Source organism: Homo sapiens, chromosome 14, assembly GCF_000001405.40.
Source record: "Homo sapiens chromosome 14, GRCh38.p14 Primary Assembly".
Taxonomy (NCBI): domain Eukaryota; kingdom Metazoa; phylum Chordata; class Mammalia; order Primates; family Hominidae; genus Homo; species Homo sapiens.
In genome coordinates, this window is record NC_000014.9 from 73,257,911 (window position 1) to 73,270,956 (window position 13,046).

The 13,046-nt window shown below is 56.7% G+C and overlaps 1 protein-coding gene across 17 annotated transcripts in view, besides 2 other annotated features; it reads left to right on the plus strand.

Moving 5' to 3' along the window:
* The window catches only part of PAPLN (papilin, proteoglycan like sulfated glycoprotein), a 38,819-nt gene that overhangs the window by 22,106 nt on the left and 3,667 nt on the right, over window positions 1-13,046 (plus strand). For 8 of the 17 annotated variants that reach the window (XM_011537292.4, XM_011537291.4, NM_001365906.3 and 5 more), the window contains 12 exons: window positions 1,069-1,149; window positions 1,359-1,635; window positions 2,799-2,919; window positions 3,246-3,384; window positions 4,440-4,917; window positions 5,735-5,872; window positions 6,301-6,425; window positions 6,678-6,816; window positions 7,460-7,597; window positions 8,591-8,718; window positions 8,813-8,921; window positions 10,647-10,813. In XM_011537292.4, the coding sequence (XP_011535594.1) occupies window positions 1,069-1,149; window positions 1,359-1,635; window positions 2,799-2,919; window positions 3,246-3,384; window positions 4,440-4,917; window positions 5,735-5,872; window positions 6,301-6,425; window positions 6,678-6,816; window positions 7,460-7,597; window positions 8,591-8,718; window positions 8,813-8,921; window positions 10,647-10,813 (2,040 nt within the window). Of the gene's footprint in view, window positions 1-1,068; window positions 1,150-1,358; window positions 1,636-2,798; window positions 2,920-3,245; window positions 3,385-4,439; window positions 4,918-5,734; window positions 5,873-6,031; window positions 6,135-6,300; window positions 6,426-6,645; window positions 6,817-7,459; window positions 7,598-8,590; window positions 8,719-8,812; window positions 8,922-10,599; window positions 10,814-13,046 lie in introns of those variants that run through there. The other 9 variants (XM_047431874.1, XM_047431873.1, NR_158678.2 and 6 more) reach the window with 8 other exon arrangements.
* Window positions 991-1,678: an enhancer, noted in NCBI's record as "H3K4me1 hESC enhancer chr14:73725609-73726296 (GRCh37/hg19 assembly coordinates)". NCBI's record gives its function as "activates a minimal SCP1, AML or CMV promoter by ChIP-STARR-seq in naive H9 embryonic stem cells {active_cell/tissue: H9 hESC(naive)}" and the evidence as "EXISTENCE:reporter gene assay evidence [ECO:0000049][PMID:30033119]".
* Window positions 1,679-2,364: an enhancer, noted in NCBI's record as "H3K4me1 hESC enhancer chr14:73726297-73726982 (GRCh37/hg19 assembly coordinates)". NCBI's record gives its function as "activates a minimal SCP1, AML or CMV promoter by ChIP-STARR-seq in naive H9 embryonic stem cells {active_cell/tissue: H9 hESC(naive)}" and the evidence as "EXISTENCE:reporter gene assay evidence [ECO:0000049][PMID:30033119]".

The window sequence follows — 13,046 nt, forward strand, 5'->3', positions numbered from 1 at the left end:
GTGCTACTGCGCCCAGCTAATTTTTGTATTTTCAGTAGAGATGGGGTTTCACCATGTTGGCCAGGCTGGTCTCGAAACTCCTGACCTCAAGTGATCCTCCTGCCTCGGCCTCCCAAAGTGCTGGGATTGCGGGCGGGAGCCCGTGCTTCGCTCATTATCTAGTGTCTTTCTATCCCTTTGTCTATTCATCCAATTTTTTTAAATATGGAATTTTTTTATGGAGGTGAAATTTACATTCAGTTAACCCTTTTAAAGTGTACAGGTTGGTGGTATTTAGCGCATTATTTCAATCTCTTTGATTATAGACATCCTAGTGGGTGGGAAGCAGGACCTCATTGTGGTTTTGATTTGCATTTCCCTGATGACTAATGATGTTGAGTATCTTTTTACGTGTTTGTTGGCCATTTGCATATCATCTTTGGAGAAATGCGTAAGTTCTTTACCCACTTTTTAATTGGATTGTTTGCCTTTCATCAGTCCAATTTTTTAAAAAAGTATGTTCTGTTTTTTGTTTTATGTGGCTGGGATCATAACACGTGCACATTTTATAGCTGGTACTTTTTGCTGAACATGTAAGATTAGCATTTTTCATGCTAGGTGCAGTGGCTCACACCCATAATCCCAGCATTTTGGGAGGCTGAGTCAGGAGGATCACTTGAGCCCAGGAGTTTGAGACAAGCCTGGGCAATATAGAAAGACCCTATCTCTAAAAAAAAAAAAAAAAAAAAGTAGTCCCAGCTACTCAGGGGGCTGAAGTGGGAGGATCACTTGAACCCAGGAGGTTGAGGCTTTAGTGAGCCATGATCACCCTACTGCATCTCAGCCTGGGCGACAGAGACCCTGTCTCAAAAAAGATGAGCATTTTCTGTGTGACTGGAGACTTTTGAAGAGTGGCTGGGCATTTTTTGAAATCCTGGGTCATGCTCCTTTTCCCTTGGGCTGTCTCGGGTTCCCAGGCCCTGCCTGGGCAGTGGGGTAGAAGCCAGTGCTGGGCAGGGCTGGCCACAGCTCAGGTCCATCCTCTCTTCCTCCCTCTCCGTCCCACATGGACCTCCCGGCTCCCTGCAGAGGTCCCCAGCATGCAGGATGTGCACACCCCTGCCAGCAACCCCTGGATGCCGTTGGGCCCTCAGGAGTCCCCTGCCTCAGGTGAGAGCCTGGTCCCGTCCCCCACTCAGAGCCCTGTAGTTTTTGTGTCTGAGTGGATGGTACATGGGGGTGTGGGGGTCACAGTTGGGTGCAGCCATGGTGGAAGGGAGAATGGTCCAGGGGACGGAGGAAGGTGGGTCCAACGTGGACAGGGGTGGAGGGGAGGAGCCAGGTGGACGCACTGTGTGTCTTTTGCTTCTTCTTTCTAGACTCCAGAGGCCAGTGGTGGGCAGCCCAGGAACACCCCTCAGCCAGGGGTGACCACAGGGGAGAACGAGGTGACCCCAGGGGCGACCAAGGCACCCACCTGTCAGCCCTGGGCCCCGCTCCCTCTCTGCAGCAGCCCCCATACCAGCAACCCCTGCGGTCGGGCTCAGGGCCCCACGACTGCAGACACAGTCCTCACGGGTGCTGCCCCGATGGCCACACGGCATCTCTCGGGCCTCAGTGGCAAGGCTGCCCTGGGGCCCCCTGTCAGCAGAGCAGGTGGGTGCTGGAGACAGGTCTTCCTCCTCCCCCGTCAAAGAGGGAAGGTGGGACCCCGTGGGTGGGCCAACATCTCTGATCAGAAGAGGGCTGGGGTGGGTGTGCAGAGCTCAGGAATAGGATGCCCAAGCTTTCCTCCCTGGGCTGCCCTGAGCATGAGATCTTGGGGACTTGGCTTCCTGTGGCTGAGTTTCTTGATGTGCCAAGTGGGGACACAAACCCCCACCTTACTGCAGAGTGTCAGCGTGTGGAAACACAGCCTGAGACTCCGAGAAGGCTCTGGGTGCGATTCTAGCTCTCAGATCTAACCAGGCTCAGGGAACTCACGGTAAAGGCTAGACGAGGGCCAACCAACTCCTCACAATCTTCCTAACAGCCCCGGCCACTCCCGCCTTATGGAATGGGTCCGAGTCATCCCACTCCTGCCAGGTGCCCTCCCTCTGCCCCTCCTCCTTCTATGGCCTGCCCTGAACGCATCCCCAGTGTGCTGTCTCAGAGACCAGGTGCTTCTGGGCCCAGACTTTGTGGCCAGTAGCCTGGGGGCAGTTCCCAGCTCAGACACTCACCGGCTATGTGCTGGGTGACTTGGGCCACGTGACTTAACCTCTCTGATTTTGGGTTCCTCTTCTGAGAAATGGGAATGATGACAATCGTGATGGGGTTCCTGTGAGGGTGAAGTGCATCACAGCATGCCTGGCACAGAGAGGGCGCCGGGCACCCTCCCTCCTTTCACCTTGCCTCGTGGCACCTGGTGGGTGGGTGTGGAGTAAATGGTGGGTTCCTTTGAACCCCCTCTTCTGCCCTGTCTCCCATCTGCTGCTGTTTTGTAACCCCCGCTGTGAACTGACATTTGGTCAGGCTCAGATGAACATCCCCCTTCTTTGTTTTGTGGGCTGTGCAACTGAGGCTCTGCCAGTTATGAGGGGTACAGCCACCATTTATTGTGTTACGGCTGCCCTCCCTGGTAGCTGCTAAGAGTCGGTGGATTTAGGCAGAGATTGCGGCACACAAAATGGCCTGCCCTGCACACGGGGACACGTCCTCTCCCCCCCAGGTCCCCACCCTGTCAGCCCCCACCATGGGGAGCCTCAGAGCCTGGGTCCTGGGATGCAGGGAGCGTGGGGGCAGGCTGGGCAGTGAGGGGCTGTGTGATGTCTGCCTAGGTACGGGTGCTGCCCTGACAGGGTATCTGTCGCTGAGGGGCCCCATCACGCTGGCTGCACAAAGTCGTATGGTGGTGACAGCACCGGGGGCATGCCCAGGTCAAGGGCAGTGGCTTCTACAGTAAGTGTCTGGCCTGGGGGAGGGGAGCAGGGGGCCAGCCCGTGAGCCTGCTCAGTGTCACTGTGACCCAGGATCTTTGCCGCTTTGGCCTCGGAGAAAGGAGGTCCCTGCAAATCTGCTGGCCTGGGTCATCCTCTGGAGGGCACCGGGCTTCAAAGATGGGCCTGGGGTGGATCAGGGGTTTCATCCAACATTCTCCTGGCCTCTGGTCTCCCCTGGGCTGGGGTTCTGGCCCCTCCTTCCTGCCATCCTCCCCGTGGCAGCCCAGAGTCCCCAACAATGGCCAGATCCACTGCCCACTTCCCAATCATGGGTTTCCTCCCCAGGTCCACAACACCCACCAGCCCCAGGCCCAGCAGAATGAGCCCAGTGAGTGCCGGGGCTCCCAGTTTGGCTGTTGCTATGACAACGTGGCCACTGCAGCCGGTCCTCTTGGGGAAGGCTGTGTGGGCCAGCCCAGCCATGGTGAGTGGACACCCCCTCTCCTCCTTCTCGATGGGTAGACTCTGCTCCCACCATGCCTCCAGCCCCCACCCAGGACCAAAGACCTTCCTACCAGCTCAGTTATTCATTCATTCCTACCACAAATGTTGATTGCCTGCTAGGTGCCAGGCCAGAGAGCAGTGCCAGAGTGTTCTCGCATCCAGCAGTTTGAACCTGTGGCCTTCTGGCTGCTTCTGGGAACTGGGGAGGGTGGGAGGTGGGGATCCCAAGGGCCTGGGAGGCAGTCTCGTGCTTGGGAGTCAGCCCCTTCTGAGGCAGAGCCAGTGCAGGGCAGTTAGTGCCGGGATGGGCAGGGGTGCCCTGACCCTGCCTGGAATGTGGGTGGAGTAGCAGGAGCTGAGTGCTGGAGGGAGGGTAGGGGTCAGGGAGGTCTTTGAGGTTGCAGCCCTGGATGAATGAGTAGAGCTGCTGGGAACCATCACGAGGACCTCAAAAGCCGGGCTAGGGCTGTGGTCAGGGCTCGCAGGAGGCACCCATGGTCATGTCTAAATGTGGAGAGATGGGTCAGGCCATGCTGGCGAGGGCTGCTGGAATGGCAGGCTGGGTGCTGGAGGTGGGCTCAGTGGCCAGTCAGTGCAGCATCCTGGGGACAAGGGCATGCCCTTGCTGGGCATCTTCACACGCCCTGGGTGGCTCAGGTCTGTGTCCCTATCACAAGCTAAGCAGGCAGGGTCACCCTCTGGGCTCACTTTGCATGTGACTTCAGGTGGTCTGGTGGCAGGGAAGGCCAAAGGTCCAAGGGAGCCGGCCCAGGGAGCCCTGGCCCTGACCTCCCAGAGGCTCTAGCTCTGTGGGTGAAGGCTGCTGTGGCACCAGCCGGGGGCAGGTCTGCACAGTGGACAGACTCTGGTGGAAGCATCCTGGATCCCAGGGCCAGGTCAGGCCCCCAGACAGGGGTGTAGACATGCTTTATAAGTGGGGAAGGGCCTGCTTCCTGAGTCGGAGGCTGAGAGGATGGAGGGTGCAGCTTTAGTACTGGGCACCTCAGTGACTTATATCACACCCATGCCCTGCAGCCTACCCCGTGCGGTGCCTGCTGCCCAGTGCCCATGGCTCTTGCGCAGACTGGGCTGCCCGCTGGTACTTCGTTGCCTCTGTGGGCCAATGTAACCGCTTCTGGTATGGCGGCTGCCATGGCAATGCCAATAACTTTGCCTCGGAGCAAGAGTGCATGAGCAGCTGCCAGGGATCTCTCCATGGGCCCCGTCGTCCCCAGCCTGGGGCTTCTGGAAGGAGCACCCACACGGATGGTGGCGGCAGCAGTCCTGCAGGCGAGCAGGAACCCAGCCAGCACAGGACAGGGGCCGCGGTGCAGAGAAAGCCCTGGCCTTCTGGTGGTCTCTGGCGGCAAGACCAACAGCCTGGGCCAGGGGAGGCCCCCCACACCCAGGCCTTTGGAGAATGGCCATGGGGGCAGGAGCTTGGGTCCAGGGCCCCTGGACTGGGTGGAGATGCCGGATCACCAGCGCCACCCTTCCACAGCTCCTCCTACAGGTGAGGCCCACCTTCCCCAGGTGAGGGGGTTAGGACGCCCAGACAAGGAGCATGCCAGTTGGAGCTAAACCCCTGAAGTCAGCCGGCCCTCCCTCCCCATCCCTAACTTCTGTTTCTCCCGAGAGCCCTGCCTGGTGGGCCTTGTTGCCATCATTCTACAGATGGAGAAGCTGGGGCTTCAGAGACTTGAGGCTACTCTGATGTCTAATAGACATCTGTGCAGATGGTGGCTCCGGGGTTCTCCATCAGATCTCGCCAGTATACCCCGGGGCCTGTCTGGCTGGAAAAGTTTATTGGCTTCGTGACCTTTGGCAAGTCACCCAACTTCTCCAAGCCTCAGTTTCTTGACCTGTAAAATGGTGGCATTACCTTCTGCCCTGTATACCTCACAGGTGTGGGTTCTGGTCAAGATGACTCCTGGGACTGGATCATATTAATGAAGGATTTGGGAAGGTTAAAAACAAAATTAAAAGCGTTGTGTTCCACATGGGTCGAGCGTGTAGTTTAGCCCCCACATGAACCTGGTGTGTGCCGTCCCTCCCGACCTCTCCCCACCCCTTGGGCTTTGCACCTACCTTGTTGCTGCTACAAGAACAGGTTGAGGCAGTGATGCTTGGGGGAGCCGGGGGCAGGTTGGGGAGGGTAGATTCCTGAATCCATGGGCTTCTGGGGCTCTGCCTCCCATAGGGACCCTCTAGCCCCAAAAGTGCCTGTGACAGGATGGGCCCCAAGCTGTCTGTCATGGAACACACTGCTTAGGGTGGTTCTGGTCCTGGCGCTCATGCCAGTCAGCAGATCTCACTTCCCACCTCTCCAGGATTAGCTTGGCAGGTGTGGAGCCCTCGTTGGTGCAGGCAGCCCTGGGGCAGTTGGTGCGGCTCTCCTGCTCAGACGACACTGCCCCGGAATCCCAGGCTGCCTGGCAGAAAGATGGCCAGCCCATCTCCTCTGACAGGTGGGTGAGAGTCCCCCCACCTCCTCTGACAGGTGTGACAGCCCCCCTACCTTCCCTGACAGGTGTGTGTGACAGCTCCCCCACCTCCTCTGATAGGTGTGACAGACCCCCTCCTCCTTTGACAGGTGTGTGTGACAGCCCCCCTACCCCCTCTGACAGGTGTGTGTGACGGCCCCCCGACCTCCTCTGACAGGTGTGTGTGACAGCCCCCCGACCTCCTCTGACAGGTTCACGTGACAGCTCCCTCCACCTCCGCTGACAGGTGTGTGTGACAGCCTCCCCTGAAGCATATTCCCCCAGCCTCACTTGGGGTGGGAGGGTGCTCTGTAGACTCTGGTCCCCTCTGGCACGAGCACCGAGGCGGAGGGAAGACTCACTGTTGCCCTTGGGAGCCCAGAGCTCATGTCCTCCCACACCACCCCACTCAGGCACAGGCTGCAGTTCGACGGATCCCTGATCATCCACCCCCTGCAGGCAGAGGACGCGGGCACCTACAGCTGTGGCAGCACCCGGCCAGGCCGCGACTCCCAGAAGATCCAACTTCGCATCATAGGTCTCTGTCCCCACCCCATCCACCAGTGCGTTCTCAGGGGCCCGAGTGGGAAGGCCAGGATGGGGAGCCTGACCGAGGGCTGCCTCACGCTAGAGGGGCCCAGGGTGTCTCTCTGAGTCAATTCCTCCTGCTGGCAGGGACCACCCTGTGGCCCTCATTTCTCCGTAAGTCCCTGCTGGTCTCATGGCCCGCCCTTCCTTCCACTCCCTTTTCCTCACAGCTCACACCTTGTTTCTCCTGGCCTCATGACAGGGGGTGACATGGCCGTGCTGTCTGAGGCTGAGCTGAGCCGCTTCCCTCAGCCCAGGGACCCAGCTCAGGACTTTGGCCAAGCGGGGGCTGCTGGGCCCCTGGGGGCCATCCCCTCTTCACACCCACAGCCTGCAAACAGGTAAGAACTCAGCAATGCCATCTTGCCCTCCCCCACGCCAGGGCCAGGGCCGGGGGTCTCAGTGGATAAGGAGGGGAACGTCTGCTGTGACCAGGCCTTGCCAGCCCCTGCTCAGGGCTCTGGGAGGCCAGGCCTAGAAAAACAGGGCTCCCAGAGCTGGGCCTCTTGAGGAAGAAGCTTCTGGGAACGGTGCAGTTCTACAGGCTCAGGACTCAGGAACTGAGGAAGGGAAGGGCACACACAGCTAGAGGGCCTGAGCCGGCTTCTTTGAGGAGCGTCTTGAGCTGGCCTTGAGGAATGGTTCAGTTTACAGAGGGGGTGTGGAGGACCGGAGGGGGTGCCCAACTCAAAGACCTAGTGGCAAATGTGCAGGGTGGGGGGTGACAGATGGGGATCCTGGCTGGTGGGTGTGTCTGGCCAGCTGTGGTGGAGGGGCAGGGAGTGGTAGTGGCGGGGAGGCAGCTTTAGACTTCACCCCAGGTAGTTATTGACCATTTCCTAACCAGAACAAGGCAGGGGATTTTAGGAAGCTGAATCTGGCTGGAGAGGGAGAAGGGGCCACCAGGCTTGTGCAGAGGTGCCCATGGGAGTAGGCGGGGGCAACGGCAAGGGCCCCTCATGCTGTGGGCTGCTTGTTTGGCAGGCTGCGTTTGGACCAGAACCAGCCCCGGGTGGTGGATGCCAGTCCAGGCCAGCGGATCCGGATGACCTGCCGTGCCGAAGGCTTCCCGCCCCCAGCCATCGAGTGGCAGAGAGATGGGCAGCCTGTCTCTTCTCCCAGGTTTATTTGACTCCTCTCCCCTTCCTCCTATTCTGCCTCCAGCCCCACCTTATCCTATGGAGGCCACCGGGGAAGGGAGCTGCTAGCGCATGGTCATGGCCAGTCCTGAGCCGGACTCCAGGGCCTCTTGAGAGATGGAGCAGCTGGGCAAAGGGCTCCTTGGGTTGGCTAACATTTGAGTCTCTGGGCCTTTCCAGAATGTGGTTAGTGGACAGAAATAAGAGGCCAGCTAACAGAGGTGATGACGGAAGAAGAAAATGGAGTCAGAACACATTCCCAGCTATAACCATAATGGCTACCCTTTACTGAGCAGGCACTGAGTATGAGGCTTGTGCTCTATCACGTGACCTGCAAAAAAGCCATATTGAGCAGGTGCTGTTTTCCCCCCATTTTACACACAGAAGCTTAACATCACACAGCTTATAAGCAGCAGAACCAGTATTTGAGCCCATTAAATGAGTATAGCAAAAACTAGAAACCCAAACCGAAATTTTGTATCAGAAAACTTGAAATGGTTTATACAGTTAAGCTTAAAAGCCAGACATTTTCGGCCAGTCGCAGTGGCTCACGCCTGTAATCCCAGCACTATAGGAGGCCGAGACGGGGGTGGATCACGAGGTCAGGAGTTCAAGACCAGCCTGTCCAAGATGCTGAAACCCCATCTCTACTAAAAATACAAAAATAGCCAGGCGTGGTGGCACATGCCTGTAATCCCAGCTACTCGGGAGGCTGAGGGAGAATTGCTTGAACCTGGGTGGCAGAGGTTGCAGTGAGCTGAGATCGCACCACCGAAAGCGCCAGCAGCTGCAGGTGTAAAGTCTGAGGCCAAATGGTCCTTCTGTCAGACCCCACCAAACACTAGGGGATGCTTAGCCTCTCACCAGGGACCTAGAAGACCTTGTGTTCCCTCCCTGACCCCATGCTCGAGGGACGGAGCTGGAGGAGAGGGGAGGCTCCTTGGGCTGGAGCCAACTGGCTGTACTTGGTCCCCAGACACCAGCTGCAGCCTGATGGCTCCCTGGTCATTAGCCGAGTGGCTGTAGAAGATGGCGGCTTCTACACCTGTGTCGCTTTCAATGGGCAGGACCGAGACCAGCGATGGGTCCAGCTCAGAGTTCTGGGTAAAGTGGCAGTCCTGAGTGGCCTTTGAGGTCAGGTGGCATGGGTAGGGCAGGATCTTCATAGTGGCTGACAATGACTTGTCCTTGTGCCCAGGGGAGCTGACAATCTCAGGACTGCCCCCTACTGTGACAGTGCCAGAGGGTGATACGGCCAGGCTATTGTGTGTGGTAGCAGGAGAAAGTGTGAACATCAGGTGGTCCAGGTAAAGGCTCTATTCCAAGTTGTCCCTGTCCCCAGACCTTCACAACCTCAGGTGTGGGTGTCCACCTTTCTGCCAGGGATGTCACTGTCACCACTGCTTCCATTCCGGCTTCCAGGCCTGGTGCCAGGGGAGAGGGCTGCAGCACCCTCATCCCTACAGAGCAAAGCTCTGTAGGGCCACTGGCTCTCTGCTGGTTGGGCTACACTAAGGTTTCCTAACCTCAGCACTGCTGACAGTTTGGAGCTGGTAAGTTTTGGTTGCTGAGGGCTGTCCTGTGCTTTGCAGGATGTTTAGCAGCATCCAGGGCATCTACCCACTAGATGCCAGGGGCACCCTCCCCAAAGTCATGACAATAAAGAATGGCTCCAGACCCACTGCCAAATGTCCCCTGGTGGCAAAATCTCTCCTGGAGCTGTGAACCACTGGACTACACTCAGCTTTGGGGACTTTGGTGGTCTTTTACCCTAGATCAATTGGTTTTATATTTGTCCATTCATTTAGCAGCCATTTTTTGCCTCCTCCTTCCCTGTAATGTGTCAGGACTAGGCTAGGTTCTGGGGATCCTGGGGTCACCTGAGCCCCCAGAGTACTCCCGGGCAGATGGCCCAGTGTCCCAGGAGCTCCAGATGTGTTTTGTTGCAACTGCTGTCTGTGCACAGAGGAGTGTCAAGGAAGAGGGCCAGGAAATGACTTTGGCTGCACCTTAATAGCTAAGGATGGCAAAGGATGTTCTTGGTAGAGGAAGCAGCAAGTGCCAAAGGTGGGCATTTGAGAAAGGACACCAGGATAGGAACCGGCCTGTGCACTGGCTGGGAGAGGTGACGCGATTGCGGAGGGCATCTGTGTCTTGTGTGGCCTTGAGCCCAGGGAAGGCGGTGGGAGCCGCTAGAGGTGTCCCCACTGGTGTGCTCAGTCCAGCCATCCCCTGATCAGCCTGTCAGGCCTGCTTCTCCATGTTGGCCTCTCCTGGATCTTTCCAGCAGCAAACATGCATAGAACTCCCCTCTTCACAACCACCTTCCATTGAGCCTCTATGTCCCTGCAGACCCTATGCTGACATAGTGTCCCCTTTACAGCTGTCCATGTTGGTTGCCTCTGCCTGTTCATCTCCCTACTCACTTCTCAGGGCCTGCAGTGGGGCCGCATGTCAGCCCCTGTTCCAGGACACTGTCCTGGCCAAGGTCACTGCCTCTCTCCCTAACTCCACTGGACACCTTGCAGTCTTTACGTGACCTGTAGTGTCGTTCTGCTTGCCGTATGCTCCTTCTTGAAATTCTCCCTTCCCTCTGCTCCAGGAACTACTGTCTTCTGCTGTGCCTCAGGGCCTGTCCTTGGTTTCTCCCCGTGTGACTTGGACCACCTCATAGACATGCACTTCGCTGCGTCAGTGCGATGCTGACACACTATCTGGGTCTGGACTCTTGAGCTCCAGACTTCAAATCTGAGGCCTCCTGCTATCTCACAGGCACCCCAAATTTGAAATAGCAGAAAACAACCTCGCCATTCACCCCAGCCTTGGATCTCCCAAGGTTGGAGGGGCACCATCATCACCCAGTAACCCAACCTAGAAACCTTGGTCATTCTTGATTTCTCCCTGTCCTCCACCTGTTTGCTCTCAAGGGGTGGGAACGGTTGGCTCTGGAATGGCCTTTGATTACCTCTTCCCTCTGTCTCCCAGACCTCCAGAGGCCCTTGATGGCTCTCCCAGTGTCCTCTCTCCTCCAGGAACGGGCTACCTGTGCAGGCTGATGGCCACCGTGTCCACCAGTCCCCAGATGGCACGCTGCTCATTTACAACTTGCGGGCCAGGGATGAGGGCTCCTACACGTGCAGTGCCTACCAGGGGAGCCAGGCAGTCAGCCGCAGCACCGAGGTGAAGGTGGTCTCACCAGGTAGGAAAGGTCTATATCCGGGGATGGGAAGGACATTCCCCAGTAGATTTACTGGTTCTCAAGGGCTGGCTCTGCAGTCTGAGGGACTCTGGTTTGAATCCTGGCTCACCCTGCCAGTTGCTGGTAGTGTGACTTGGGGCAAGGGGCTTACCTTCCTGAGCCTCATTTTCCTCCCGTCTACAGTGGGGCTGCTCCACCACCTGAGAGGGCTGTAGTGGAGATGAAGGAAATGATGCTCTGCTGGGCCCCTGGAGATAGCTTAATAGACATTAATGCATGCAGGACATTCAGACTCACCGATTTTGAGACATATGACTGACTGGAATTTCATTATAAAACTTAAAACTTAAGGCAGACCACTAAAATCTGTCCACTCTAATCCACTCTAAACCACTAAAATCTGGCCACTTTATGGCCGTTTGACCATATAACCCAGAAAGGAAAGGGCAGGGATTATCATCACCATTTTACAAATGAGACAGGTATGCAGAGAGCGTAAGTGGTGTTTCCACCGGTCACACCGCAAATGTGGCCTACCTGGGACTAGAGCCCATGTCTTTTGACTCCCCATGTTTTTTTTTTTTTACCCCCACGAAATTACTATACTTGTACCTAAGTGGAATCTTACTTGCATCATTTGATATTTGATATTGTAGCCTTACCTCCTCTAGCTACTACTCTATCATACTTCAACAAATCCAAATTGCCTGTAAGATGCATTATTTTTGTACCAAGAAAAAAATGCTGCCAGTGAAACGACACAATTCTGATACCATCAATTAGGATGCAAACCAACTTGAGAGATGTGAAAATAAGTGCATATCAGAACTGATGAAACAGATTGTGGTTCAGAGTTCACACTTACAAGAGATATGTTCAAATAAGCAGGAGGGAAAGGGGGACAGGGCTTTGCTCGTCCCCCAGCCTGTGCTTCCTTGTGTCCTTGGTTCTTGTTCACGGAGGGACTGAAGACAGAGTGGTACCTCGGGCCAAGCTGCCAATTCTCACAGGCCTGATACAGACCTTGGGGGAGTATGCCAGGCTCGGAGGTGCCAGGGCCCTTCCTGCCTGGTCTTCTGGGCATTCCTGACAATCAGGGCTGCAGCGCCATGCCAGGAGCACGGTTACACTCAGAGGGGCAGGCCTGGCTGCTTCCTGGCTGCCAGGCTGAGGGTGGAGACTGGCCAGTACTAGAAGTTGAAGGTCTGGCTGAAATGTTGCTTTGTGAGTGGGACTGACTTGTCGGCTTCCTGTCTATGATCTCTTTAGAGATCGCCTCCCCAGGGCCCAGCTCAGTGCTTGGCATCACTAGGTGCTCATGTTGTGGCTGGAAATGTTGTCCAGCGGCTTTTTTCTCACCTGTTGCTCGGCGAGCGGGAGGGAGGGTTACAGGGTTCCTTCCTGCCGCTTCGCCAGCCCGCCGCCTTGACCTCTGTCCGGGGCCTCGCTCGGCCCACCGTCTCGCTCCGCCCACTTGGCCGGGCAGGCTGCGCTCCGCTGACCCGGATCCCGCACTCGTGGCGGCCCCGCGCTCAGCGCACGGCACAGGCGGCTTCCGCACTGGGTGCTAACGTATAGACAAGGGGAACATGGTGGCGCCCGAAAACTCGGAGATGCCAGCAACCGCGGAGCCCCAAGGGGGTGTTACAGGGACAAATGTTCCCGCCGCTCGCAGCTCGGTGAACGGGAGCGTTAAAACTCGTTCTTCCCTCCATTCCCTCCTGCTCACCCAGCTACAAAAGCCGCGACACTCAGATACATGGTGACTAAGTGCCTGCCTGCACAATGATGGAGTTACATTGGCGAAAGCACCACACTCCAGGGACTACTTTTCACCTGTATCATGTCCAGAAAATTGACCTTGTCTACATAATAACCAAATCAAGGCTGTGTGACAAAGCAAAATGCAGATTCACAGTGAGAGAACTGTCAAGAGGACCTAGACATTATGTTTGCGATTAGCTCCAGATGGGATTACATGGAAAACCAAACTACAATGAGAAACTTGCCTGATACCTGGTCACCACGCTGAAATGGCCTGAGATGTGTGTCCCAGATGGGACAGACATGGCCTCAGTCTGGCCACTCTCCTCCGGTCCTCTGCTGGCTGCTCTCACCTGTTCATTTTTTGTTGGGTCATACGGTGTGCGGCTGCCTGACCCTGCCCTACTCATGGTTGGGTGGCACATTGAATTTCAGTGTTAGCACCAGGGTAGGAGGCCTTGGGGTGGTC